Below are 27614 nucleotides of genomic sequence, written 5' to 3' on the forward strand. Positions count from 1 at the left end.
GCCCAGCTAATTTTTGTATTTTTAGTAGAGACAGGGTTTCGTCATGTTGGCCAGAGTGGTCTGAAACCCCTGATCTAAAGTGATCCGCCTGCTTTGGCCTCCCAAAGTGCTGGGATTACAGGCATGAGCCACTGAGCCTGGCCTATTTTTTTTATCTTTTTGAGATGAAGTCTTGCTTTGTTGCCCAGGTTGGAGTGCAGTGGCACAATCTTGGCTCATTGCAACCTCTACCTCCCGAGTTCAGGCAATTCTCCTGCCTCAGCCTCCCAAGTAGCTGGGATTACAGGTGCCCGCCACCAGGCCCAGCTAATTTTTGTATTTTCAGTAGAGACGGGGTTTCGTCATGTTGGCCAGAGTGGTCTGAAACCCCTGATCTAAAGTGATCCTCCTGCTTTGGCCTCCCAAAGTGCTGGGATTACAGGCGTGAGCCACCAGGACTTGGCAGCTACTTTTAATAATATTTGGCAAGTAAATGTTTTCTAGCGTAAGTATCAGTTCTTTCTCACCTATGGCTTTTGTATAATAATTATAAGCTTCATTGTAATCTTTCTTGGCATAGTATGCATTTCCTTGTTCCTTGAAAGTCTCTGCTTCCCTGAAAATGAAAGAGAAAGAGAATCATGTTACTTTACAAAGGGAATAACCTCTGTAATCTTACAGGAGGAATCTTTGGTCTAGAGCCCGCAGCACACTGAGCTGAAAGTTAGTGTGATACTTGAAGGATTTATAGATTTGTTGAATAGGCCAATGGACCAAAAGGAGGTGCTAATGAAAGAATCCAAGTTCTTCAGATGCTCCTTTTTGTCACTTAGATACATTCAAACTAAATCAAGAAAACCCCTCTTATGTTCCTGCCTCACCTCACTATTTCTGCCTGTAGTCATCCTCCCCGCAGGACAAATTTAGACATTCCCTCATGGCAAGGAATTTTTCTATCTCCTTCCACAGTGTCACAACTGCTGCCTCTTTTGCAAACTTACAGGAAAAATGGTTACTCCATTCAGGGCAACTTATTTCTCAATGTGAAATAGGTCACATCCTCAAGAGTTTTAATAATTTCACCTCCTGAAAAGTGGCTCATGCATTTGTCACTGGAAGAACAAGCAGAGCAAAGGCAGGTGGCAAAAGAGTTAAAAGCATAGCATGTTGGTGTTTAAGACAGGAACAGAGCTGAGTGACAGCAGAGACTAAGACCGTGGATGACAGGGACATATGAGGTACAGGATGCCAGTGCCATACTATAAGGAGCACCCATCCACTGGTGTTCCCTCTTCCCATCACAACAATGTAGGTACTTGCTGCCCTCTTTGTACTCCCTCCAGTACCTTATATATTCAGCAACTGGGTGATAGCAGTATTTTTTCCCTACCTCTAAGATCTATTTTTTGAAACTGTGCCATTAGACAAAGTATACTTTCCTAAACTTTGTCCTAAAGGAACAATGTTATATAATTGGGAATTAGATTCCCGAGCAAGTACCTAGAATCAAATCAGACATGACCAACAGTGTTTTAAAAGAACTAGTAACCTCTATCAAGATACTCAAAATCATTCCACTGCTCAAGTGATAAAGATAATTCTTTACTGAAATGATTACTGCAACATTAACTAAGTACCTGATCATTTTTGTTATGAGAAACATCTTTCTTTTCCTGTTGTTCACATGCAAAAAAGAACCTAGTTCGGGGTTGCCTGAAGTTGAGGCAAAAGTCCTAGTTCTTAAACCTTGGTGATGGTACAGCAATTTACAGCTTGAGTCTACGGATATCTGCATTAGGGAGATTTGTGATTTACTTAAGTATTTTAAACTACAAACTGGTAAAGTCGCCCTCCTTTTATTGAGGTGATCCTCCCTCTCCATTCTTCTCCATCACTGTCCTGGCAAGCCCTACTAATATGAAAAGGCTGCTAGAAGGAGAAGGCAAATGGGAATGACCTATAAATGCTGACAGCTGTGAAATGTGATGGATATAAATCTGCTTGAGTAACTGTCTATACCAACTATCACAATGCTGAAAAGAGGCCTTCTGCTATGAAAAATCTTCAAGAAAGATCCCCCAATTGCAAGATTTAAAGAACCAACTGAAATCTTGCTACATGGTATTCACCATCCTGTAACTCTAAATTAAGCAAAGTGCTTATAAAAACTCTCAGGAGCCTATCCTTTAAGAGCAGACATGCCAAGGGATTTGAACAAAGGACTTCCCCAAAACTGGATTTCGATTAGTCAAACTGCTGTGAAGAAATGGAGTAGCAAATTCCAAAGTAAGACATTAGGCCCAAACTCCATCAGAGAAGATCTAGCCTCTTCTTCAGTTGGCTAGTGGCTAAGAATATACAAATCTTTGAGGAAAACGAAGACATCTAGGTACCTGGGGAGACACTGTGTCAGCAGTATAAAGCTTGTTAGTCGAAAGTGAAATAATGTACAGGGCTGCTGAAAGGTGCCCCTAGTCTCCTCCTTCCTAAGACACTACCCCTATGGAGGTCGGGGAGTTCAGGACTGGCTTCTAGAAAAAATGCAAAGGATGATTTTGGTGGACAGTTACTAATAACTACTGAGGCCAGGTACTTTCCATACAGTATCCTCTATAAAACACAGTCCGGTGAACTTCATTATTCCCATTTTTCAAAAGAGGAAATAAGGCCTGGGGGTTAAATAACTTGCCTGAGGTCAGGATGTTACCCATGTTTGTCAGAATACAAAGCTTGTGCACTTTCTACTATGCCAAGCTTTCTCTCTAATGCTTGCCTCCGCTTACTGCTAACTATTTTGAAAATTAGTCTGTACTACGAGGAGTAAGACATGGACAATATATGTAAGACATGGACAATACATATAAATTTGTTTAAACTAAGACACACAGTACACCCCACATGTAATATTCAACCCCAGAACCAAAATCGGTATTTAAATAAGCTAAATGACATTCCTAACAATTAGTCATAGAGGAAGCAGGGCTCCTTTCTCTTTAAGATGCAAGACCTAGTGAACTGGACTTTGCCTCCCCAAAGAAATGCATTTCATTTTAGTAAATGGTGAGTAGATTCCATTCTAGAGCAAACAAAGCAAGTAATGTAGAGTCAGCCCACAGCAAAAAGAACAAGAAGAATTGTGTTGTGACAAGTTGCCATGTTTTTAACCTCACACTGCACAGCATCAGGCCAGAATTAGCTATTCCCACACAACTGCCTCATGAAAAGGACTTATTTTCATAGAAACGTGGCTGATTAACAGCTGCCTAAACAATGGGCACTTAGTGCTTTTAGACTGAACGCTTATTTTTTGCCTTCAGGTCCAATGCCCAAAGTGGACTGGAGTCCCTCCTTCATTTTGAACCTCCCCACCAAATACACAACAAGCTTTAACCAGTGGGCCTGACCCTGCGAGACCAGTCGAGGAAAGAGTGGATCTTTGGAATCCAGCATGGCAGCAGCAAGAACTGAACAAGGCTGCATCAGGAACAATTCCAGTGTCAAATCCATTCAAGTCCTGCCCTGGAAGTCTGAGAAAGGGCTGAAGCTTGTTCAAGTTGCCTTTACAGCAAAGGGACTGAAGGATGAGATGTCAAAGGCGTGGGACTGGAAAAAAAGGAGAAGAGCTGGTTAACACTGGAATTGAAGGCAATCTGGTGGTGGCATCTGTCACTCACTCACTGCCAGGGTCAATTCATCTGATAGCCAAGTGAGGTTGTAACATGCACCTACTGAAACACACCAGTACTGAGAAAAGAAGACTTAGGATTAATTGGCTTCACCTAGACCAATTAAAAAAAAAAAGGATTCCCAATGCACTAAATTAAACTACAGATTATTTTCTGTGGCTACAAAATTAAATTCAGATTAAACTCTTAAATATAATACCACAGCAAAATATAGACTTGGCCATAACTGACCTGATGGTACTATTAACAACTACAATATATTTCTAGTGTTATTTCAGATTTTCGAAGCATTTCCAATGAAGATTTTCAATTTTTTTTTTTTTTTTTTTTTTTTAGATGGAGTCTAACTCTTTTGCCCAGGCTGGAGGGCAGTGGCATGAACTCGGTTCACTGCAGCCTCTGCCTCCTGGGTTCAAGTGTTCTCTCGCCTTAGCCTCCCGAGTAGCTGGGATTACAGGCATGTGCCACCATGCCCAGCTATTTTTTGTATTTTTAGTAGAGACGGGGTTTCATCATGTTGGCCAGACTGGTCTCAAACTCCTGACTGCAAATGATCCGCCTGCCTAGACCTCTCAAAGTGCTAGTAGGATTAAAGGCGTCAGCCACCACGCCTGGCCAAGATTTTCAAATGGCCTTCTGAGGTGGTTATGGCAATAATTTCACCTATCCTCCAACAGAGGAAGAGCTAGTGAGGCAACCAAGATGGCTGCACAGGTCTCCTAAGTCCTAGAAGTTTATGTTTTCCCCCACATCCTGTTAGTGTCAAGGCTTTTAGATTAAAACTAATTTATCCAGTTCTCCCACCAAATCCTTGGGTCAACTTCTAAGCAGAATAGCTTCACAGCTCTGATTCACCAAGAGATGCTGGGAATGACTCCACCTCCACCAATCCAGTCTTTTCATTTTAACTGACAGTAATAAAGTTGCATGAAAACAGCTACTGAAAGGTTTTCCAAAAAAATCTGTCCTCTCTGGATGCATGGAGGATCTCTCACAACAGGATCAGCACACTGGAAGCCCTGGCCTTCAGAGAAGACATCCCATTCATGGTCTCCTTTGCTATTTTAAAATGTATTTCTTTGTTTTTCAGAAATAACCTTGCTGGGCGCAATGTCTCACGCCTGTAATCCCAGCACTTTAGGAGACAGAGACAAGAAGACTGCTTGAGTGCAGGAGTTAGTTTGAGAACAGCCTGGAAAACACAGGGAGACTCTGTCTCTACAAAAATTTAAAAATTAGCTGGGCATGGTGGTGCAAGTCTGTAGTCCCAACTACTTGGGAGGCTAAGATGGGAGGATCACTTGAGCCTGGGAGGTTGAGGCTGTAACGAGCTGTGATTGTACCACTGCACTCTAGCCTGAATGACAGAGCAAGACTGTCTCAAAAAAACAAAACCACCCACCAGTAAGAAAACTGCAGCTTTGAAAACTTGCTCTTCTACAATAAATGTTCGTTAAAATCTGTATATCCTTTAGACATGTAGTTACATTATCTCTCTCAATTCAGCATTCATTCATTGCTGACACTAATTACTCCAACAAACACTGCTAAGGGAATCATTTGGTATCACACAGGTCTTAGCAGGGCTCAGCATCATGTGATTAAATCAGACAACTTGGGCTTATGGTTGCTAGCCAACTTTGCACATTTACAGCTCAACTAAATTAAAAACACATTAAAACATCATAGTTGACATTGCAACATGCCCCAAATTAGATGCCCTATAAAAATTTCCATTTTCTCTCTAAATACTTCCAAGTTGAACACTTAAGATCTCTGCGTTGGGTCAACTAGTCTAACTTTTAGCAATTAAAGCATCAATCAGAAACTTTAGTCAGCCTACACTAATGCAGAATTAATTGTGTGGTAGTTTTTAAAATGTCATTAACATGGCTGGGTTCTCTCTGGAATTGCTTGACATATCACGTATTTGCAGATTATTAAAACAGGGATGAGATTCTTCATCATTTTAAAATTTATTCCACCTCACTGCATGAAAAACAGACTAGCATGGTTTCATTATTCTGCAACACTTGTAACCTAGGAAATGTGGATCCAAATTTTATATGACAAAAAGCACACCGCACTGTGGTTTGATTTTGTTTTTTCTTTTTTTTTGAGACGAAGTCTGGCTCTGTCACCCAGGCTGGAGTGCAGTGGCGCAATCTTGGCTCACTGCAATCCCCACCTCCTGGGTTCAAGCAATTCTCCCACCTCAGCCTCCCTAGTAGCTGGGATTACAGGCACACGCCACCATGCCTGGCCAATTTTTTTTTGAGAAAAGAGCTTTATTTATTTATTTATTTAATTTTTTTTATTTTTTGAGACACAGTCTGACTGTCACCCAGGCTAGAGTGCAGTGGCGTGATCTCAGCTCACTGCAAGCTCTGCCTCCCAGGTTCATGCCATTCTCCTGCCTCAGCCTCCCAAGTAGCTGGGACTACAGGTGCCCACAACCACGCCTGGCTGATTTTTTTGTATTTTTAATAGAGACGGGATATCATCGTGTTAGCCAGGATGGTCTCAATCTCCTGACCTCTGTCACCTCTGTTACCTAGGCTGGAGTGCAGTGGCGCAATCTCGGCTCATTGCAACCCCCACGTCCTGGGTTCAAGCAATTCTCCCACCTCAGCCTCCTGAGTAGCTGGGATTACAGGCACACGCCACCACGCCTGGCCAATTTTTTTTTTTTTGAGAAAAGAGCTTTATTTATTTATTTATTTATTTAATTTTTGGGAAATTATAGGCTCACGCCTATAATCCCAGGAGGCTGAGGCAGAAGACCTCCTGAGCCCAGGAGGTCGAGGCTGCAGCAAACCATGTTCCTGCAGCCTGGGTGACAGAGTGAGACCCTGCCTTTAAAAAAAACAAAACCAGGCTGGGCACGGTGGCTCACGCCTGTAATCCCAGCACTTTGGGAGGCCAAGGCAGGCAGATCATGAAGTCAGGAGTTCGAGACCAGCCTCATCAATATGGTGAAACCCCATCTCTACTAAAAATACAAAAATTAGCCGGGCGTGGTGGCATGCACCTGTAATCCCAGCTACCCGGGACGCTGATGCAGGAGAATCCCTTGAACCCAGGAGACGGTGGTTGTGATGAGCCAAGGTTACACCACTGCACTCCAGCCTGGGCAACAGAGCAAGACTCCGTCTCAAAAAAAAAAAAAAAAAAAAAAGTCCAGGCACGGTGGCTCACGCCTATAATCCCAGCACTTTGGGAGGCTGGGCAGGCAGATCACAAGGTCAGGAGATCAAGACCATCCTGGCTAACACGGTGAAACCCCATCTCTACTAAAAGTACAAAAAAGGATTAGCCAGGCAAGGTGGCAGGCGCCTGTAGTCCCAGCTACTCAGTAGGCTGAGGCAGGAGAATGGTGTGAACCCGGGAGATGGAGCTTGCGGTGAGCTGACATCGCGCCACTGCACTCCAGCCTGGGCAACAGAGCAAGATCCTGTCTCAAAAAAAAAAAAGAAAAAGAAAAAGATACTTTTCTTTTCCTTTAGGCTATTAATAATAATACTTTATACTGCCAATGAGTCAATATCCCTTATGCATTCCTCTTATATTTACTACTCCCCAAATGTCGCCTTACTCTATGATTGTTGTGCTCCATTTATTTTATTCAGTCAAACTTACTAGTTGCCTGTTGATCTAGAAATGCCCTCCACCCTTCAGAATTCACGGGATCTTGGCCAGTCAGAGTAGAAATTCTTTCCTCCTTCCCACAGTCCGAGACCTCTTGTCCCCAATGGCATGTCACAGGGCCTGTTTCATGTTGCACTCTCCCTGACCTTCATGACAAAATAAAGTAAAAGGAGCCCAGGAGCCTAACTTCTATTCCATCTTACCAAAAGCATATCATTTAGATTCTTCTTTAAGAAAAAAATTTCTTTTTTTTTGGAGACAGTCTCATTCTATTGCCCAGGCCAGAGTGCAGTGGTGAGATCTCGGCTCACTGCAATCTTCACCTCCCAGGTTCAAGCGATTCTTGTGCCTCAGCCTCCCTGGTAGCTGGGACTACAGGCACGCACCACCATGCCCAGCTAAATTTTTGTATTTTAGTAGAGATGGGGTTTCACTATGTTGCCCAGGCTGGTCTCAAACTCTTGAGCTCAGGCAATCCACCTCCTCAGCCTCCCAAAGTGCTAAGATTACACACATGATGAGCCACCACAATTGGCCAGAAAAAACTGCCTTTTTTTTTTTTTTTTTTTTTTTTGAGACAGAATTTCGCTCTTGTTGCCCAGGCTGGAGTGCAATGGCGTGATCTCAGCTCACCGCAACCTCCGCCTCCCAGGTTCAACTGATTCTCCTGTCTCAGCCTCCCAAGTAGCTGGGATTACAGGCATGTGCCCGGTAAGAAGTTTCTTTTTTAAAAAAAAATCTAGGCTGGGCAAGGTGGCTCATGTCTATAATCCCAGCACTTTGGGAGGCCAAGGAGGGTGGATCACCTGAGGTCAGAAGTTCAAGACCAGCCTAGGCAACATGGTGAAACCCCATCTCTACAAAAATACAAAAATTAGCCGGGCATGATGGAGGGTGCCTGTAATCCCACCTATTCGGGAGGCTGAGGCGGGAGAATTATTTGAACCCAGGAGGCGGAGGTTGCAGTGAGCCGAGACTGTGCCATTGCACTCCAGCCTGGGCAAGAGTGAGACTCCGTCTCAAAAAAGAAAAAAAAAAAAATCTACTATTCTACAAGTGAAATGTCAATATAAGTTTCACATAGATAAGTGGAAGTCACAGGTATAGATATATATATATAGATATAGATTTTTTTTTTTGAGACGGAGTCTCGCTCTGTCACCCAGGTTGGAGTGCAGTGGCGCCATCTCGGCTCATTGCAAGCTCCGCCTCCTAGGTTCACGCCATTCTCCTGCCTCAGCCTCCCAAGTAGCTGTGACTACAGGCGCCTGCCACCACGCCCAGCTAATTTTTTTGTATTTTTAGTAGAGACGGGGTTTCACCGTGTTAGCCAGGATGGTCTCAATCTCCTGACCTCATGATCCGCCCGCCTCGGCCTCCCAAAGTGCTGGGATTACAGGCGTGAGCCACCGCGCCGGGTCAGACATATATTTTTTGAGACAGACTCTCACTCTTGTTGCCCAGGCTGGAGTGCAGTGGTGTGATCTCAGTTCACAGCAACCTCTGCCTCCCAGGTTCAAGTGATTCTCCTGCCTCAGCCTCCTGAGTAGCTGAGATTACAGGGCCCCACTACCATGCCTGGCTAATCTTTGTTTATTTTAGTAGAGATGAGGTCTTGCCATGTTGGCCAGGCTGGTCTTCAAACTTCTGACCTCAAGTGATCCGCCAATCTCTGCCTTCCAAAGTGTTGGGATTAAAGGCGTGAGCCATCACGCCGGGCCATAGATATATGACTTGGAATAATTCTATAAATATGGCAAGGTATTTATGCTCGGTGCTTCATCCAGAAAAAAATAGAAGGTGAGCGCTATCCAACTGCTACCTTTTAGCAAAGCTATCTGCTACTCAGCTTTCTTTACCCAATTTCCTACAGAATAGATAGTTTTCACTTTAAAGCACAAATGGAACAACCCTCCACACATCTCCGCTAATAAAGAGAAGGCAGAAGATGAAGAAAATTCCTTAACATACCAGTTCAAATTGTCCTCTGGGTGGACATTCAAGGAGAAGCCTCAACACGGGCAGAGTCAGAAGGGACCCAAAATGCACCAGAGGAGTCACAGACTGTCTACACAAAGCAGCAGCACTCCCTACTGTTCAGGCAGGGACGGACACCAGCCAGCAAGCTGTGCCTGGCTATGCAGCTGGCTATGCCTTATTCAGTAAGGAAGAAAAAGCAAGCAACCAATTCAATCCCTACAGAAATCCCATCACTGCAGGCAGAAACATATTCACTTGGAAATACTTGTCTCAACGGTGAGTTGGAAATTTATTTTAGGTCCTTAAATGAGAGGTGTCACAATCTATTACATCTACCTAACCTTCACTTATCCCTGGGGAGAGGAGACCCAACAATGAAGCTACTTCTGGGAAACATGCTTCTCTGAAACCATTCTGAGGATACAAGTCACTGGCTTTTCAGCATTAGCCAGAGGCTTGTTTTCATAACATATCCCCAAACCCACCATTTTCCATCCCTCGGTTCCCTATTCTGTGACATCTCCCACTATAGGGACACCAGCACCCATCAAAAATTTAAAACTGAGGAACTACAATTAAGGAAAAGGCTGCTTTGCCCTGGCGCAGTGGCTCACGCCTGTAATCCCAGCACTTGGGAGGCCGAGGCGGGCAGATCCTGAGGTGATGAGATCAAGACCATCCTGGCCAACATGGTGAAACCCGTCTCTACTAAAAATATAAAAAATTAGCTGGGCATGGTGGCATGCAACTGTAGTCCCAGCTACTCAGGAGGCTGAGGCAGGAGGATAGCTTGAACCCAGGAAGCGGAGATTGCAGTGAGCCGAGATCGTGCCATTGCACACTCCAGCCTGGAGACACAGCAAGACTCCATCACAAAGAAAGAAAGAAAGAAAGAGACAGACAGAAAGAGAGAAAGAAAGAGGCTACTTCCTAGGCCGGGTGCAGTGGCTCACGCCTATAATCCCAGCACTTTGGGAGGCCAAGGCGGGTGGATCACCTGAGGTCGGGAGTTCGAGACCAGACTGACCAACATGGAGAAACCCTGTCTCTACAAAAAAAAAAAAAAATACAAAATTAGCCGGGCGTGGTGGCGCATGCCTGTAATTCCAGCTACTCAGGAAGCTGACTCAGGAGAATTGCTTGAACCCGGGAGGCGGAGGCTGCAGTGAGCCAAGATTGCGCCATTGCACTCCAGCCTGGGCAACAAGAATGAAACTCTGTCTCAAAAATATATATATATAAAGGCTGCTTCCTGAGTTTTTTTGGGTGGAGTGGGGTGGGGTGGAGATGGGAACTAGAGTGGGGAGGAGCCTGGATTGTCAACGGTATTTCACTTCTCAAAGTTGTCTTGGTTCCTTAGTTCAACAGGTGGTTAACTGTCTCAGGGCAAACTGTCCAAGGAAGAACTCTCAGGACAGAAACTCCAAAAACAAGAGAGGGTCCTGCTTGCCCCTCACACTCTCTCCAAAAGTAATATTAGAATCAAGAGAGATGGTTAACACTGCTTATCTGACAATCTGGCCTCCCCACACAAATTGTAAGTCACATGCCAATAGAATTTCACGTCTCAGAATAAGACCTGAGAGTCATATATTCCTCCTATTACCATTCTCAAAAGCCTCAACCACTCATATTCTTACCCATGGTGAGGGTAAAACATAGGAATTGCCATTTTGATCCGAATGGGAGAAGGAAAAACAGTGTCACTCCAATAAAATGAATAGCCTGTTAGGATAACTGCACTTTGAATTTTGTTCTTACTTCAAAAGTTTAAAAGAATACCTGGAAAGACCTCTGAGTAACTTCCACATCACTCAGTGCTGGAGAAAGGGGACCAAAGACTAGTGCAGTAAGGGAGAAATGGGCTCTCAGAGGGACTCTGCATCAGGCCACAAAGCAACTAGGCAACTGCTGACTATTGTTCTCCAAACTTCTAAAGTCCCGAAGAACAAAAAAGCAAGTGCCCAGTACTCAGCTTTTCAAAACCATTAAAATACAAACTTCAATGACTAAACTAATCCCTGATTGGCTGGAATGTACAATAAGGCTGGGCTTTCGGCCAATCAGAGTTCTGTTTGTTGGGAGTGGACTGGACTCTAAGCAACTGCCACTCACTTGGCCCTATATTTTCTCAAAATTCTTGTTTCTCTGGCACTAGTTAACATGTGGATCTGAACTAAAGCACTAAGAGAGAACCTTTCTCTGTACTCTACCTTTGCTCCAGTTATGATTATCTACTTTGCCATCTGTTAGTATCAGGGTTCAATTAATTTGCCGGTATTGAGAATTCTGTATTCCTAGGTTTATCCCTTCCTTAACTTATTTCTCCTCCCATCTCCCATTTCTTCACATCTGACTACACTTAGTGCACAGCAAAAGGAAAATAGTGTTTCTCACTGATTTGGGTTCCAGGTCAAAGATAAATTCCCACTCAGTTTGGAGGCTTACTGAAATGTCTAGGTGCTTGCTCTGAAACTTCAAGAGGAAGATTAGAAGGACACATTCCTAAGAATTTAAAACCAGGTAAGGAAGAAAGCTGGGGAGGCATGCCCACAAGCTCTTCAGTTAAGTGAGGCCACAAACTCAAAAACACCATGCAAAGCTGCAGCAAACGAACAGCAACTACAGGAAACCCGGGACATGAATTGAGAGTTCAGTTGTTCCCATTAACAATCTGAATAGAGAAATAAAAGGCAAAATCCTAATCGCAAAGAGTGTACAATACCTAGGTAGTAAGGGCCTAATAAGAATTGCTCTTATTTGTGCCCATCAGGAAAACATACAGAGAAGTTAAGTTTATCAGCTCAAGGAATCAGGTAAGGATGTCCTGACTCTTAAGTCTATGGATCCCTTGATTCTTTTAGATCTTGTTGTCCAGTCACACTAGGTATATGCTGAGACACGTAAGTGTTTTCTCTTTGAAAAACAATTTGAGGTTGGGTGTAGTGGCCCACGCCTGTAATCCCAGCACTTTGGGAGGACAAGGCGGGCGGATCATGAGGTTAAGAGATCGAGACCATCCTGGCCAACATGGTAAAACTCCGTCTCTATTAAAAATACAAAAATTAGCTGGGTGTGGTGGCACACGCCTATAGTCCCAGCTACTCGGGAGGCTGAGGCAGGAGAATCATTTGAACCCAGGAGGCGGAGTTTGCAGTGAGCTGAGATCACACCACTGCACTCCAGCCTGGTGACAGAGCGAGACTCCGTCAAAAAGAAAAGAAAACAATTTGAAATCCCTCAAGTTTACCATAAGAAAGACTCCCTATAGAGATCAAGCTGTTTCCCAGCCCAGGAGATATAACAAGAGATCCTTAATTCAAGACAGGTATTCCCATATTAGGTAAAGCAGTCAGCAACTTCCCAGGAAAATATAAAGCCTTAAGTTAGTTGAAATGTGAAACATCTGAAGTTTAACCCTCTGGCTCATAAATAGCTTTGCCTGTTTTGGTGAGCAAAGAGAAATAATCTTCATGCATAGAATCCTGATCTGTTTTGGAGTGCCAACTAATATATCTTTTATTTTAGCCCCAACCCTTTTTTTTGAGACAGGGTTTCACTCTGTCACCCAGGATGCAGTGCAGTGGTGTGATCGCAGCTCACTGCAGCCTCGACCTCCCCCAGCTCAGGTGATACTTACACCTCAGCGTCCCAAGTAGCAGGGCCTACAGGTATGCACCATCACACCCTGCTAATTTTTGTATTTTTTTTTTACAGAGATGGGGGGCGGGTTTCACCACGTTGCCCAGGTTGGTCTCGAACTCCTGGCCTCAAGCAATCCACTGGCCTCAGCCTCCCAAGGTGCTGGAATTACAGGCGTGAGCCACCGCACCCAGCCTTAAATGTTTTTATAGAGACTAAGTCTCACTATGTTGCCCAGGCTGGTCTCAAACTACTGGGCTTAAGCGATCCTCTCATTTTGGCCTCACAAAGTGCTAAGATTACAGGCATGAGCCACTAAGCCTAGCCTTATTTTAGTTTCTTGGCTGCTGTAAGGGAAACAGAACTTTGTCAGAGTGACATGCAAAAAAATTGAAATCCATCTCTTTTCTCTACAGAAACACTAAAGCTAAGGAAATAAAACATGTAGCCATTTAAAATGCTGCAATCGTGAAGTCCGTCTTAAAAGCTCCTCTCATTTTGCCCCCCTATGGGACTGTGACAACTTAGCAGCAGCAGGACATGTCTTAAGCCAAGACGTAAGGAAGGAAGGACTCCTTACAAAGCTGGACCTCACAAAAACGACCCGAGAGACTCATTAACTCTTGATCCCTAAATGAACTGGTAGGAGGACCATAACAACAGAGGCAGGAACTTGGCCAAAGAACTCTAACCAAGCCAGACAGTAAAAGGGCATTTGTAAGGGATGCCCCTATCACTGCCCTCTGCTATGGCCACACAAGAGGAATCCAGGACACATGAAAAACATAAAACCACCTCCCTCCAAAGCTTCTAAATCTCCATCCCATTTTCAGCACTGGAAAAATCATACATAAACAAGGCTTTTTCATACTAACAGAGCCTAATGTTTATTCTTTTTTTTGAGACAGAGTTTCACTCTTGTCGCCCAGGTTGGAGTGCAATGGCACGATCTCGGCTCACCGCAACCTCCGCCTACCGGATTCAAGTGATTCTCCTGCCTCAGCCTCCAAGTCGGTGGGGCTACAGGCATGCACCGCCATGCCTGGCTAATTTTTTTTTTCTATTTTTAGTAGAGATGGGGTTTCTCCATGTTGGTCAGGCTGGTCTCAAACTCCCGACCTCAGGTGATCAGCCTGCTTTAGCCTCCCAAAGTGCTGGGATTATAGGCATAAGCCACCGCGCCCGGCCAATGTTTATTCTTCTAAGGATGTCTGATATGGCAAAAAGTTAAACTGATTTTTTTGTTTATTTCACTTATTTTCCTTTTTTTTTTTTGAAATGGAGTCTCACCATGTCGCCCAGGCTGGAGTGCAATGGTGTGACCTTGGCTCACTGCAACCTCCGCCTCCCGGGTTCAAGCGACTCTCCTGCCTCAGACTCCCGAGTAGCTGGGATTACAGGTGCCCACCACTACGCCCAGCTATTTTTTCTATTTTTAGTAGAGATGGGGTTTCACCATGTTGGCCAGGCTGGTCTCAAACTCCTGACCTCGTGATCCGCCCACCTCAGCCTCCCAAAATGATGGGATTACAAGTGTGAGCCACTGCACCCAGCCAATTTTCCTTTTGATTTGTGCAAAAAAGTGGTATATAATAAATAACTATGTTTAAGTCTGTCGAAAACAGTGCTATATATGAGAAACATAAAAGTCTGATAAGAATGCATTTTTTTCTTTTTTTAATTGATTTTTTTTTTTTTGAGACGGAGTTTTGCTCTTGTTGCCCAGGCTGGAGTGCAATGGCATGATCTCCCCTCACCACAACCTCTGCCTCAGCCTCCTGACTAGCTGGGATTACAGCATCACCCCACCTGGCTAATTTTTGTATTTTTAGTAGATGGGGTTTCACCGTATTAGTCAGGCTGGTTTCGAACTCCTGACCTCAGGTAATCCACCCGCCTTGGCCTCCCAAAGTGCTGGGATTACAGGTGTGAGCCACCACGCCCAGTCTTTTTTCTTTTTTTAATTAATTTTTTTCTGTCACTATTTGAACTACAGGAATAATGCATGTTGTCATGTTTAATTTACAGTTACATTTTCTTAGTGACAGATAAAATAATTTGCATTCTGCAATCAATGACTTTTTTTTGAGATGGAATCTCACTTTGTCACCCAGGCTGGAGTGCAATGGCCCGATCTCAGCTCACTGCAACCTCCACCTCCTGAGTTCAAGCGATTCTCCTGCCTCAGCCTCCCGTGTAACTGGGATTACATGTGTGTGCCACCACGCCCCGCTAATTTTTGTATTTTTAGTAGAGACAGGGTTCTGCCATGTTGGCCATGCTGGTTTCAAACTCCCGACCTCAGCTGACCCACCTGCCTCGGCCTCCCAAAGTGCTGGGATTACAGGTGTGAGCTACTGCACCCAGCCTAATGACACTTAAATTCCATGAAATAAGGTAGTTTACCTTATTTTGTTGTACTGCTATCAAATACCATGTTTTGTGTGATGTGGTCACATTACAGCATAACCTATTTTATTATATGTCTTCAGGTTCATTTACTCCAATTTTATGATAGACTATCCTCTAAGGCTGTGATTGAAGAAATGTATTTGCTTAAGATAGGAGGCTATGAAATGAAGTCCAAAATAGGGACACTCTACATCAGAGATTTACAATGAGTAGGGTGAGTTTTTAAAATTACCTATGGCCAGCCCGGCACAGTAGCTCACGCCTGTAATCCCAGCACTTTGGGAGGCCGAGGTGGGCGGATCACGAGGTCAGGAGATCGAGACCATCGTGGCTAACAGGGTGAAACCCCATCTCTACTAAAAATACAAAAAAAAAACAACAATTAGCCGGATGTGGTGGTGGGCACGTGTAGTCCCAGCAACTGGTGAGGCTGAGGCAGGAGAATGGTGTGAACTCAGGAGGCGGAGCTTGCAGTGAGCTGAGGTCGCGCCACTACACTCCAGCCTGGGCGACAGAGCGAGATTCCGTCTCAAAAAATAAAAAATAAATAACCTGTGGCCAAATCCCTATTTACAGTATAAAGAACCACTGAACTCTTTCCAAATACAAGTAAATCTCTACAATTAATTTAAGCTCCGTCTGCACTGGGAGGAATTTTGTTTCCCATTGTGCAGCTCTTTAATGATGTATAAGGGTTGATGATGCTTAGCTTTAAATATCTAGGAAGAAGTAGGAACAACATGAAAGCTCAAAATTAAGAACAGAGACTGGACTCTGGTGTCCTGGCTTCTCTGATATCCCAGGGGCCTATTACACTTTGTCAGGCCCCTCAGCTCCCAGCAGATCAGGAACTTGAGATCTGGCTGTGGTAACCACCCTCAAGCTTGATAACTATTCATTGCGTCCGAGTACTTCTTATATTTCGAACTCATTAGATAGTAAAAATCTCAGAATCCTGATTTCAGATCTCATGAACTAATTCTACATCACCGCCTCAAATTACCCAGCCTGAAGACACAACGGGCTTGGTATGAAGATATAAAGTATGTTGCAAAGAGACTGAGGGCACTGTAGATATCTTGAACAAAAGGGTCAGACTAACCCGCAGCTGATAAGGAAAGGGCTCCAAACTTCTAGAACCTTCTTGTCAATTCTGCTTTAGGATTAGAACAAGTATGACTACCCACAACTCTGTTCCAACCCCACTTCCAATAATCTGGCCTAACTGTTGCCAGAATCTAGAGCGTTCTCGAAAACCACTCACTCAGCAGCTCCCTTGGCTAGTCCGACTGGCAATCTCGAACCACTGCGGCTGCTTCGGAGTGCCAACAGCGCCCAAGCAGTTGCCCTCTTCCTTGGTGCTTAACTTAAGAAAGAACAGTGCTGGGAAGGATAAAGATCACCCAGGAAGGACAGGGGAAGAGGAGTCTGACGTAGAGAACACGAGATAAGCCCCTCGCTCTTCCTTTTTTTCTCTGTCATCTTTGACTTCTGGGATAACCGGGGGCAACCAGGTCAATTATGGAGACACACAATCACTTCGAACCCAGACTAGTGATCGCTGGGGTATAATTACAAGGGAAAACGGGGTGAGGAGAGCAAAGGTTTTGGAGACGGAAAGTGCAGACAGGCAACAATGCACAGAAGTTAACAAGAGAACGCGGGGGTCGGGGGCGATGTAAGGAAGTCGTCATCGACGCCGCGCCGCTTCCCCCACCTCGCACCAGACCTCTGAAATTGCCCTCGGAGACTCGGCCTCTCCTATAAGGACGATCGTCCTCTCAGCTGGAGAACAAGGCCATGCCTCAGCTCCTACGCCAGGCGGAAGCGGGAGAGGAAGGCCGACCCCCAAGAGCGCCCCTTCAGGGGGTCCATCCGGCCTTGATCTCAGATGGGGGGGTGTTTGCGGAGGGCGGGGCATCGCCTCAACAGCTGGGGGCTGCATCATGGCAGGAACGAGTTTCCCTGAGCCACGGAGCTGCAGGTCGCCTCCTCTACTACCCTGCTACCCGGTTACCTCTTCGCCTCTTGGTCGTCGAGCAGCTCCGGCTCGGTCGCCGCCATTACCACATCGCACTCCGCGGCAGCCGCCATCTTACCGCCGGGACCAGAGAGCTGGGTGGGAGGCCGGCGGTGAAGAGCACTTCCGGTTGGAGCATAGAGCAGCTCCGCGGCGCCGCGCCCAGAAGGGCTCCCTCGGGCTCGTCTACCAGAGAGAGGCTCCGCTTGGGGCCAGAGCGGCCTCCCGCCCCCGGATGTCCACGGTGGTCTCCGCGCCGGGGCGGGAGCCCAGGGGCTGTGCCGGTGCGTAGGCGGCGCCACTTTACCCGTGGGTGGGAAGGCGGGGTGTACCGGTGGTAGCCTCTCTAGGGCTTGGCTGCTTTCAGTATTCCAAGAGCCTCATTGCCATAGCAACTTCCAATCCTAGAGAGTCTTCCTGAAAGGCTCCGTGGAGTCTGGGTTGCGTGGGGACCAGGTGACCCAAGACTCTGTAGGGAAGGAGTCCCCACTGCTACCTTTCCGACCTTGGAGTGTGTCCACAGCTTCTTCCCGGGAAAGTCAAGAGACACTTTGAGCTCAGTTCCCCCAGCTTTCATCGTTCTCTGGAAGCCCTGCCCAGTCAAGCCAGGGGAACGCAGGGCGTCTTCACCCTGCGCCTTTCATCCACTCCGGATCTCCAAACACCAACTGGTTCATCACCCTAATGACGCTGACCCTTTTACAAGGCTCCTTTCATGTCAGCCGCCTGGGAGTGCCATCTCAGCATTAAGCCTAGGAAAGCTGACACATGGCGCCCCAGACCCTGCCCTGGAGTTTATAAGGAAGCTCGCGGGGTGAGGTCCTTGCTCTTGTGTCCCCAGTACTCCCACCTCTTATATAAACTCTCTACTCATCACGCTTGCCTTGCCGAATGCGGTCTGGATTGAGAATTCATAGGGGACAAGGGCACAGTTTAACTGTCTTTGTTGTTATTCCCTCACCCAAACGACTATTTGTGGAGCTGAATTAAATTGGAGCTTTCTGGGGTTAAATTGGAGGAGTATGAGGAGTAGCTTTACAATGTAAAGCTAAGAGTAAAATAAGAAGAGGGCAAAGGAATTTTAAAAGGATTTACCTGTTTGTTCCAGGAAAACAGCATGTGCCAATGCTCATACTCTGCCTATCCCAGTGTGGAGGGAGCTGAAACCACAGCGACCACTGAGTAGGGAGGGATAGGACAAGCTCACTAGGTTGGAAAGGAGGGGTCATTCGTTGAGCCAATCACTCAGCCCTTTCCAAAACGCCTACTCTGTGCTAGGTTGTGAGGGCACAAGACTTACAGACCACCTGCCCTGCCTGCCAGTGGCTCATAGTCCAGTCTAATGCTAGCCAACCTGTCTCACCATCTTCCCACTTTATGTTCTATCTAAGGCAACTCATTTATTCCCACAGCTTTACTTCCATCTGTTGATGACTCTCAACTTTTCATATCTCCAACCTAGACCTTTCTTCAGCTTCCACAGCTGTATATCCAACTATCTACTGGATATCTCTTGTATGTTTCACAAATCCCCAAGGCTTACCATATTTAAATTTAACTTTTTCATTGTCTACCCACACCTCAACAACAGAAAAAACAAATGTTGGATGTAATTATTATCTTTCCTAAATTCCGTATCTTGTTAAATGGATTAAACCATTCTCACTCTTGGCTTCCAATTTGTTGCCAAGTTTTGTTGATTCTCCTACCAAATATTTCCCAAATCTATCTCCACCTTTCCATCCCGATTCAGGCGCTCATCATTTTTTAAAATCTTGGAATAGGCTGGGTGTGGTGGCATGCATCTGTAGTCCCAGCTATTTGGGAGGCTGAGGCAGGAGGATCACTTGAGCCCAGGAGTTAGAGGCTGCAGTGAGCTATGATCACACCAATGTACTCCAGCATGGAGAAAAGAGCAAGACCCTGTCTCAAAAACGGCAACAACAACAACAACAAAACAACAGAAAAAAAAACTTGGAATACATCAATAGTCTCCTAATCGGTCTCTAATTTCATCTCTGTTCAGTCTTCCCTCTTCTGCCAGAGTGACCTTCCTCAGGGACTGATCATGTCTCTTCATTGGCAATGGCTTTCCATTGCCGTCAATTTGATCTCTTTGGCCTACCACACAAAGCCTTTGATTATCTGTTTCTTTTTTTAAATAATTTAATTTGAGTACCAATATTTAGGTCCTTTCTACCACCAATATTGAACCCAAGTTCTCATAGTTTCAGAAAATGCCATGACTTGTAGCCGTTTCCTCCACCCTAGAACACCCTTTCCCCCAGGCCCTTCAGTGTCTGCTGACTCAACGTTAAATGCCCTTTTGCTGTGCTCCACAGCACCTCAGTAGTTGTTAGACATCTAGCTTCTCTAGACCGTGAGTTCTGATGGGCAGCCACCATGTCTAACTCGTCCACTTTCTCTCAGTATATGGCCCTGCACCAGGCACAGACAGATGATGCTCAGAAAACATTTGACGAATAAATGATTGAGTAAACGAAGAGTTACTGTACTCTGATCGCCTTTACAGAGAGAACATCTGGGCCTCAGAGACACCAGAACACCCAGCGGCCCGCGTCCAGGGAGTCTAGAACCTTGGGCTCCCGCGCACACCCAGGCCAGGTCCTGGCCGTCATTCTCCCGCCGGCCTCTGGGGGAGCTGCGCGGTCCGCGCTCTCTCTCCGCTGCCGGAATTCGTCTTGCCTGACGGAAGCTGGGGAGCGGGCAGGCGGCGGGGGCGGGGCCTGGAGGAGCCTACACCGACTCTGGAGGAAGACTGGAGCCTTTGCGGCGGCGCTGCCCCTCCCCTGGTCCCCGCGAGCTCGGAGGGCCCGGCTGGTGCTGCGGGGGCCCCGGGAGGTACGGACCTGGGAGGCGAGGCTCGTCCGGCGCTAGGATCGGCCTCCGCCTCCGGGCCGCTTTAGGTGGCTGGTCTCTGCCTCTCATTCCCTCTGGGGGCTCCCCCGTGAGAAAATCTGTGGCGGAGGCACCTCTGGCCCACTCTTATGGTGTCCTTTATTGTGGGGCTCGCTATATGGAGAGGGGGTCTGTGTCAGGAGCTTCCCCTGGAGAGGTTTCTGTTAGGGACCGTCTTTGGGAGTGATCTATCTCTGCTCTCTGGGGGGGATCTTTGTCTGGAGCTTTTGGGGGGCTTGTGTTTGGAAGTTTGCCTTCGGGGAGATATCTGTCTGGGACCTCTTAGGGTTTCTGTATCTGAGCTTTCTCTTTTGTGTCTGTCAGTCCAAGGGCAGCAAAAAGTATGTCCTTTCTGAAGCCTTTTTTTCCGTAGGTTTCTTCATTCTTTTCTCTCTTGTCTTATGTTCATTTTAGCCATAGACTTGACTGGAGTTTAGAGGGAATTGATTGTTGTCCAGATGAGTCGTACAGGAAAGCAGATTGTCTTTTTTTGAGACGGAGTCTTGCTCTGCCGCCCAGGCTGGAGTGCAGTGGCATATTCTTGGCTCACTGCAATCTCCGCCTCCTGGATTCAAGCGATTCTCCTGCCTCAGCCTCTCAAGTAGCTGGGATTACAGGCACCCGCCACCACGCCTGACTAATTTTTTGTATGTTTAGTAGAGATGAGGTTTCACTATGTTGGCCAGTCTGGTCTCGAACTCCTGACTTTGTGATCTGCCCACCTCGGCCTCCCGAAGTGCTGAGATTACAGGCGTGAGCCACCGTGCCCTGCCCCAGATTATCCTTTTTATTTGCTCAGTCCCCCCAGGGAGCAGATGGCTTCAGACAGCCACACAAAACACTGTTCCTGCTTAATTCTCCATGGGGTCATGGTTAAAGAGAGGAAGCTGGGCTGAGCTCCCTTTACTAATTGGTCCTCTACATCTTGCGCACAGAAGGGAACCTGGCCCAGTGGCCAGTGACTCTCCTCTCCCTTTATGGCAGCATTTCCAAGCACCTGCCCTGTGACAGATACTGGCTAGGTACTGGGGATAACAAAGACGAATAAAATAACAGCTTACCATCCAGTAGTAGACATGGAGACATCCGTTTCCTCTGACTAGCATTGGGATGGTGCTGAAACCCTGGAACTATACATTCAGTTTAGAACTATACATTCAGTTTAGAACTCTCAGTTATGGACGTTCTGCCTTCTGTTTTTTTGGTTTTTGTTTTTGTCCACCAGAAAACATCTGCTAGTAACTGCCTTCTGTGTTGATGCTTTCTTTCCTCACCTTACCCAGCGTGCTTCTGTTCTTCAAGGTTGAAAACTAAGCATGGGGAAGAGCTGCAAGGTGGTCGTGTGTGGCCAGGCGTCTGTGGGCAAAACTTCAATCCTGGAGCAGCTTCTGTATGGGAACCATGTAGTGGGTGAGTGTTGTTGGAGGGGGAGGAACAGTGGAAGAAGTTGAAAAATAAGGAATAGGACTTGATCACAACACACACAGGCTAAAAGCTGCTCCTGGTGGTTTTCCCCCCTGGAAGAATAAAACTTACATTGTAACAGATCAACTCTACAACACTGAACAAATACGGAGGGAGAAAGCCCTATGTCCAAGATAGGAAAGAGAAGCTGTCATGTCACACTTGTGCTTAGCATGGAATTAGCATAAAATTAATGTCCATTGGCCGGGTGCGGTGGATCACGCCTGTAATCCGAGCACTTTGGGAGGCTGAGGCGGGTGGATCACCTCAGGTCGGGAGTTCGAGACCAGCCTAACGAACTTGGAGAAACCCTGTCTCTACTAAAAATACAAAATTAGCCGGGTGTGGTGGCACATGCCTGTAATCCCAGCTATTCGGGAGGCCGAGGCAGGAGAATCGCTTGAACTCGGGAGGTGGAGGTTGCGGTGAGCCGAGATTGCGCCATTGCACTCCAGCCTGGGCAACGAGAGCAAAACTCCGTCTCAAAAAAAGAAAGAAATTAATGTTCGTTCCCCTAAACCCAAATCATTTCAGTCCTGCCAGGCTGTCAATTCTCTGGCCTCCTCAGCCCCCTACATTCCTTTCTCCCCATTTGGTCAGCCTTAAGATGCTCTCATCACTCACATTTCCCATCTCTCTCTCCACTTCAGACAGTTTTCTCATTTTATACCAGGTTCGGAGATGATCGAGACGCAGGAGGACATCTACGTGGGCTCCATTGAGACAGACCGGGGGGTGCGAGAGCAGGTGCGTTTCTATGACACCCGGGGGCTCCGAGATGGGGCCGAACTGCCCCGACACTGCTTCTCTTGCACTGATGGCTACGTCCTGGTCTATAGCACAGATAGCAGAGAGTCTTTTCAGCGTGTGGAGCTGCTCAAGAAGGAGATTGACAAATCCAAGGACAAGAAGGAGGTGTGTGGCATAGGCTTCTGGTGGGAGCCTCAGTGGTCAGAGAGTTTGGGCGGAGGGCTGGTTTGGGAAGCCTGGCATGGCTCCATTCTTCACTCCAAGGTGAGTTAGGAGCCAGAGGTGGGGTGGAGGCCACTGAGGGTATCTTTACCCTCAGGATTGGCTGCATGTTGAGTCTGCTCAACAAAAGAGGCCTCTTTGTGGTTTAAGGGGTCCCTGACCTAATGTATGAAGCCCCCATTTAGTTGTTGAAGGGGTCACTGACCTAATGTATGAAGCCCCCACTTAGTTGTATGAAGTCCCCACATAGTTGTCCTTCCTGATGGTTCTGTGCTTTTAGCTATGAAAGCCCTTCTTTTGTTTGTTTGTTTGTTTGTTTGTTTGAGACAGGGTCTCACTCTGCCACCCAGGCTGGAGTGCAGTGGCATGATCACAGCTCACTGCAGCCTCAACCTCCCAAGGCTTAGGTGGTCCTCCTGCCTCAGCCCCCTGCTAAGACTACAGGTGCATGCCACCACACCTGGCTAAGTTTTGTATTTTTAGTAGAGATGGGGTTTTGTCATGTTGCTCAGGCTGGTCTCAAACTCCTGGACTCAAGCAGTCCACCTGCCTCAGCCTCCCAAAGTGTTGGGATTACAGGCGTAAGCCACTGCATCTGGCCACGAAGGCCCTTCTGTTCTCCAGAATCCCACAGTAAGCTGCAGGGTTCTGGGAGTGCTTCCTCACCTGTTGTTGAGCCAGAAACTGACTGCTAATAATGAGCATGTATGGGCAATACAGAGCTGGTGATAGAACTCCTAAAAGGAGGGCTAGATGGAGGCCAGAATTTGAACAGAGGAAAGAGAAAAAAAGCAACCATCTCCTTCCCCACAATGAGTGGTATGGAATCTAGAAAGAGATGAGATATCAGCCATTGAGCTTTCCTCTCATAGAACTCCTAGGTGGTTGCCAGCCCCCATGTCCATTCCTGGTTCTATGGTACATTCACAGGCCTATGCTCTGTCCCTCTTCCCCAGGTCACCATCGTGGTCCTTGGCAACAAGTGTGACTTACAGGAGCAGCGGCGTGTAGACCCAGATGTGGCTCAGCACTGGGCCAAGTCAGAGAAGGTGAAGCTGTGGGAGGTGTCAGTGGCGGACCGGCGCTCCCTCCTGGAGCCCTTTGTCTACTTGGCCAGCAAGATGACGCAACCCCAGAGCAAGTCTGCCTTCCCCCTCAGCCGGAAGAACAAGGGCAGCGGCTCCTTGGATGGCTGAAGAGCTGCCGTTCCTCTTTCACGATCCCAGCCCCATTTCAGTGTCTGGGGCTCTGGTAGATGTGTTGAGGGCAAAGTAGAGGACAAGCTGTCTTTCCCAGTCAGCCAGGGAGCTCCCCGCCAGGCCACGCCCCAGCCACTTTGCTCCCTCTCACCTCTGGGAAGTGCAAATACTCTTGGTTGACATCCCCTTCCTCAGCCCTCCCAGCCTACTCCCCATCCCAGCTTTTAGAGGATCTGCTCCACTGTCTCCTGGGGCAGTTGTGGGTCACTGTCCCTTCCAGCTGCCCCAGACAGGAAGCAGAGTCACCACGCAGCAGTGTCCCTTCTTGGGTCTGAGTTCCTATTATAGGTAGGGGCCCCACCCTCTGGGCTTCCCATCAGCGACACACACACACTTATGGCACCAGCCTGGACTCCAGAAAAAGGGTGTCCAGGTATTGTGTGTATGCATTTAGTTGTGCACACACAAATATGCTCCTATACTGGCATTAGGCGTCTCCTCATCCCTCACCCTGACCTTTCTCCTGTCCTTTTCTTGGCTGGAAGAAGTTGGCCTCCTGGGAGTGTAGTTTTCTGTTTTAAATCCCCCACCCCTGGCTGGGCTCAGTGGCTCACCCCTGTAATCCCAGCACTTTGGGAGGCCAAGGCGGGTCGATTACTTGAGGTCAGGAGTTCACGACCAGCCTGGCCAACATTGTGAAACCCCATCTCTGCCAAAAATACAAAAGTTAGCCGGGCGTAGTGGCACATGCCTGTAATCCCAGCTACCCGGGGAGGCTGAGGCAGGAGAATTGCTTGAACTCAGAAGGCGGAGGCTGCAGTGAGCCGAGATCGTGCCACTGCACTCCAGCCTGGTCAACAGAGCAAGACTCCATCTCGAAGAAAAAAAAAAAAAATTCCCCACCCCTACCAATTGTTTTACTTCCTCTTCCTGCTCAGGGAGCAGATGGGCCTCACTGGTTGAGATGGAATAGAATAACTGGGCTATGAGTCACCAGCCCACTTTGTGACCCAGCAAGACCTTTCCCCTCTCTGGGCATCAGTTTCTCATCTGTAAGATGACCAGAGTTGCTTAGATGATCTCCTAGATCCTTTCCAGTTCTCTTGATTTCGTAAAGCCAATGGCTTCTCCCTCTTTAAGGTGCTATGCCAACCAGCCCTGGAGGCTGGGATCTGCCGCTCCCTCCAGCCACCAGGGGGCAGGAGTGCACTACCTGCTGTCAGTCACCAGAGTGGCCGCTCAGTGCCCAGCCCGCCAGCCTCGCTCTTGGAGGCTGCTCTTTATCCTGCCTGTGGTTTTCAGCTCAGAGCTGGACTTCTATTTATAAGTTACCTGTATTTATATTTATATGCCCGCTCTCATGGTGAAGGCTGGACAAGGTGCTCCTCTGGCCCCTCCTTCTTACCTCAGATGCCTGAACAGAACAAGGCAAACCCGTAGCAGCCTCTCAGGAGCTGACAGGTCCTCTTTCGGGGCTCAGGAGGGTGGGCACACACCCAGCGGCCTGCAGAGTAAGCTTATTACCCACAACTGTGCCCGCTTTGTGCTTCTAAGGTGCACACCTAGCCTAGGTGAGACACTGCAGCCAGGCAACCACCGACACACGCCCCTTCTCAAAGCCAGAGGTGAGTGGGGCAGGTGCCCGGGGCTGGGTGAGTGGAATTAGGACACACACAGGCTTGGGCTTCAAGTTCATTTATTGATGCATTGGTTGGACACAATAAAACCACAATTGTTATCAAAAAGTTTCCCTCCCCTCCCCCTTTTTCTGGTTCTCCCATTGGAAATGTCTTTAAAAAACAAAAAAAAGATACAGGGGGATACTGGCAGGGTCCCATATTGTGGGGTGGGGAGGGGGCAGTGCTGCAGTGGAAAGGAGTTTGTGACATTGACATTGACAGCATGAAAATGGGTCTTGCCAGTGCATGTGAGACTGCCTCCCAACACTCAGCTTCACAGTGGCAGGGGCTGGTTGGGAGAAGGGAAAGCTGAATTTAGTGCTAGGACCAGTTTGGAGTGGGAAGCTGTAGGGGAAAGCTCTTCCTTTGGGAGCTCTGCGGGGGGTTCGGTGTTAGCTGAGTCCATAGTCTGAGGGAGACCCACACCCGCCCTCCAAGAGTTGGGGTTCAGGAAGTCAGAGAAAGGCTAAGAAGAAGAGCTTCTGAGGGATGAGTTACTCCCTCAATATTAAGACTGGGCTTATCAGCAAGTATCACTTGAACCAGGGAGGCAGAGGCTGCATGCAGTGAGCCAAGATTGCACCACTGCACTCTAACCTGGGCAACAGAATGATACTCTCAGACAGAAAAAAAGACTGGGCCCATGAATGCCCAGAAGACTTAAGATTAAAACAAAACCCTGGGCCCAACCAGAACATCACCTCCTCTCTTAGTCCCACCCCTTCAGAGCAGATGAAGCCCCCAAAAGCTTTCAGAACCAGCCCCACTACCTCCTTGGCTCTGCCCCACCTTAGCACTGCTGATCGAAGGACTTTTGGGTCCCCCTTTCTCCTCCATGGTCCTCTGTCACACTCCCATGGTCACCTTGTCCTGACAGCCTTGAGCCTGCTGCAGCTAGAGACCCCATCCCTATCTCCAGTGAAGCCCCAAAGCCTAGGAATAGAGGTCAGAGAGTCGTCCCCTGGCTAGGAGAGGATGGCTTGTAGAAGCTAAGATTCCTAGAGTCTGGCCATGTGGGTCTTGGGTGGAGGAAAGTGAGAGCACCACATGGCTGGGGCTGAGATTTTGCATAGATCTTTGGGGTCTGTCAGGGTGGGAAATGCAGGCAAGCCTAGGATTAACCCTGGAAGGCCTGCGAAAGGAGGGTGGGGACAGTCCTTGGAAGGCAGCTGCCCTTAAAACTAGCCCAGCTCTTTCTGGATCGGGCAGGACCCCTGAAGCTGTTCACAGTCCCTGTGGCATGTAGGAAACCAAGGTGTCTCAGGACAGGAGGAGACAAGGAGTGGCTATTGGGAAATCAGCTCTGGCCTCCCCATGAGGGCTAATAAGGGGCAAGGACGATAGGTCCTGTGGCAGGGCGGACAGCTCCTGCTGGGGTGCGAAACAGAGCTGGGCCCAGGATGGGAGCCGGGAAGAGGGTAGTGGCTGCTGTAGGGGCAGGGCGGAGGGCCAGGGGCCCTGGCAGAGCACAGATGGCAGTGGCTGCGGTGGGGAGCGGGCTGGGCAGGAAGCGGGCTGCCAACGTCTTGGTGAGTTGCTTCTGCAAGGCCAGTTTAGACTACACGGAAAAGAAAGGAATGGACACAGTCTCCACCCCAGAAAACCCCACCCCCTCCCTGGGGCCCATCCTCAAGCTTTTTGCTGCAGGGAAAGCGTGCCTTTTAGAGTTCCAAACCTAAATCCTCCTCCCTTCCCACCCCCAAACATTCATTCCGAAGGGCTTTCTCCACCACCTGTCTTCCTGTCCAGAGGGAGGAAAGTCTCAGCATGGGAGAAGGGAGGAGGATTTACGGGATAGAGATGGTCTCTAGGAGATGCACGCCCACCCCTCACTCTTGCCCCTAAGATGACTATCCCAACCCACCTCCCCGGAAATTCCTCTGCGCAGATCCCAGTTCCCAGGCCTAGCTCTGTCACTGCCCAGCAGCCTCATTGCAGGGTGGCCTCTTTTCCTGCCCCACCGCAGCCCCCCCATCTGGCCCTCCCAGCCCACCCTCTCCCCTCCTGACCCAGT

General features: G+C 47.7%; 3 protein-coding genes across 25 annotated transcripts in view, besides 7 other annotated features; 1 reads left to right on the forward strand and 2 right to left on the reverse strand.

Annotated features, from left to right (window-relative positions):
* The window catches only part of DNAJC7 (DnaJ heat shock protein family (Hsp40) member C7), a 41005-nt gene extending 23541 nt beyond the window's left edge, over positions 1–17464 (reverse strand). For 3 of the 8 annotated variants that reach the window (XR_007065438.1, XR_001752603.3, NM_003315.4), the window contains exons 1-2: positions 17365–17464; positions 507–595 (exon numbers count right to left, since the gene is read on the reverse strand). Coding sequence is in view for 1 of the 8 variants with exons in the window: in NM_003315.4 (NP_003306.3) it covers positions 507–595; positions 17365–17441 (166 nt within the window). In the remaining 7 variants the exon portion in view is untranslated. Of the gene's footprint in view, positions 1–506; positions 596–3383; positions 3583–17064; positions 17188–17364 lie in introns of those variants that run through there. The other 5 variants (XM_011525167.4, XM_017024994.3, XM_011525169.4 and 2 more) reach the window with 5 other exon arrangements.
* Positions 10966–11495: an enhancer, noted in NCBI's record as "OCT4-NANOG hESC enhancer chr17:40162959-40163488 (GRCh37/hg19 assembly coordinates)". NCBI's record gives its function as "activates a minimal SCP1, AML or CMV promoter by ChIP-STARR-seq in naive H9 embryonic stem cells {active_cell/tissue: H9 hESC(naive)}" and the evidence as "EXISTENCE:reporter gene assay evidence [ECO:0000049][PMID:30033119]".
* Positions 16673–17872: an enhancer, noted in NCBI's record as "MED14-independent group 3 enhancer chr17:40168666-40169865 (GRCh37/hg19 assembly coordinates)". NCBI's record gives its function as "activates an origin of replication core promoter dependent on BRD2, BRD4, P300/CBP and CDK7 cofactors, and independent of MED14, by STARR-seq in HCT116 cells {active_cell/tissue: HCT116}" and the evidence as "EXISTENCE:reporter gene assay evidence [ECO:0000049][PMID:35650434]".
* Positions 16983–17032: an enhancer, noted in NCBI's record as "active region_12180". NCBI's record gives its function as "activates an Ori minimal core promoter by ATAC-STARR-seq in GM12878 lymphoblastoid cells {active_cell/tissue: GM12878}" and the evidence as "EXISTENCE:reporter gene assay evidence [ECO:0000049][PMID:35858748]".
* Positions 17103–17512: an enhancer, noted in NCBI's record as "active region_12181". NCBI's record gives its function as "activates an Ori minimal core promoter by ATAC-STARR-seq in GM12878 lymphoblastoid cells {active_cell/tissue: GM12878}" and the evidence as "EXISTENCE:reporter gene assay evidence [ECO:0000049][PMID:35858748]".
* On the forward strand, positions 17601–25666 carry NKIRAS2 (NFKB inhibitor interacting Ras like 2). 9 transcript variants are annotated; one of them, XM_047435823.1, is made up of 5 exons: positions 17601–17651; positions 19901–20294; positions 21589–21696; positions 22424–22665; positions 23679–25666. In XM_047435823.1, exons 3-5 carry the CDS (start codon positions 21603–21605, stop codon positions 23916–23918), a joined length of 576 nt encoding a protein of 191 aa, XP_047291779.1. In that variant the 5' UTR covers positions 17601–17651; positions 19901–20294; positions 21589–21602; the 3' UTR covers positions 23919–25666. The 9 variants fall into 9 exon arrangements, with proteins under 9 accessions (XP_047291779.1, XP_047291778.1, XP_047291781.1 ...); XM_047435822.1 differs by having other exon boundaries at positions 19901–20229; XM_047435825.1 differs by having other exon boundaries at positions 19901–20229; positions 22424–22497.
* Positions 17623–17772: a silencer, noted in NCBI's record as "silent region_8509". NCBI's record gives its function as "represses an Ori minimal core promoter by ATAC-STARR-seq in GM12878 lymphoblastoid cells {active_cell/tissue: GM12878}" and the evidence as "EXISTENCE:reporter gene assay evidence [ECO:0000049][PMID:35858748]".
* Positions 19999–20408: a silencer, noted in NCBI's record as "silent region_8510". NCBI's record gives its function as "represses an Ori minimal core promoter by ATAC-STARR-seq in GM12878 lymphoblastoid cells {active_cell/tissue: GM12878}" and the evidence as "EXISTENCE:reporter gene assay evidence [ECO:0000049][PMID:35858748]".
* Positions 24962–25011: an enhancer, noted in NCBI's record as "active region_12182". NCBI's record gives its function as "activates an Ori minimal core promoter by ATAC-STARR-seq in GM12878 lymphoblastoid cells {active_cell/tissue: GM12878}" and the evidence as "EXISTENCE:reporter gene assay evidence [ECO:0000049][PMID:35858748]".
* ZNF385C (zinc finger protein 385C) overlaps positions 25601–27614 on the reverse strand; it is a 72898-nt gene continuing 70884 nt past the window's right edge. For all 8 annotated transcript variants that reach the window (NM_001378270.1, NM_001392014.1, NM_001392013.1 and 5 more), the window contains one exon: positions 25601–27158. In NM_001378270.1, coding sequence (NP_001365199.1) covers positions 26922–27158 — 237 coding nt within the window. In that variant the 3' untranslated portion in view covers positions 25601–26921. The remainder of the gene's footprint in view (positions 27159–27614) is intronic.

Source organism: Homo sapiens, chromosome 17, assembly GCF_000001405.40.
Source record: "Homo sapiens chromosome 17, GRCh38.p14 Primary Assembly".
NCBI classification, from domain to species: Eukaryota; Metazoa; Chordata; class Mammalia; order Primates; family Hominidae; genus Homo; species Homo sapiens.

What these genes read in the sequence shown, in the direction of transcription:
- NKIRAS2 (XM_047435823.1), top strand. Translation starts at nt 21,603, where the DNA reads ATGGGGAAGAGCTGCAAGGTGGTCGTGTGTGGCCAGGCGTCTGTGGGC. An exon ending in GTATGGGAACCATGTAGTGG is followed by an intron (nt 21,697 to 22,423) that starts GTGAGTGTTGTT and finishes ATTTTATACCAG; the next exon opens with GTTCGGAGATGATCGAGACG. An exon ending in AATCCAAGGACAAGAAGGAG is followed by an intron (nt 22,666 to 23,678) that starts GTGTGTGGCATA and finishes CCTCTTCCCCAG; the next exon opens with GTCACCATCGTGGTCCTTGG.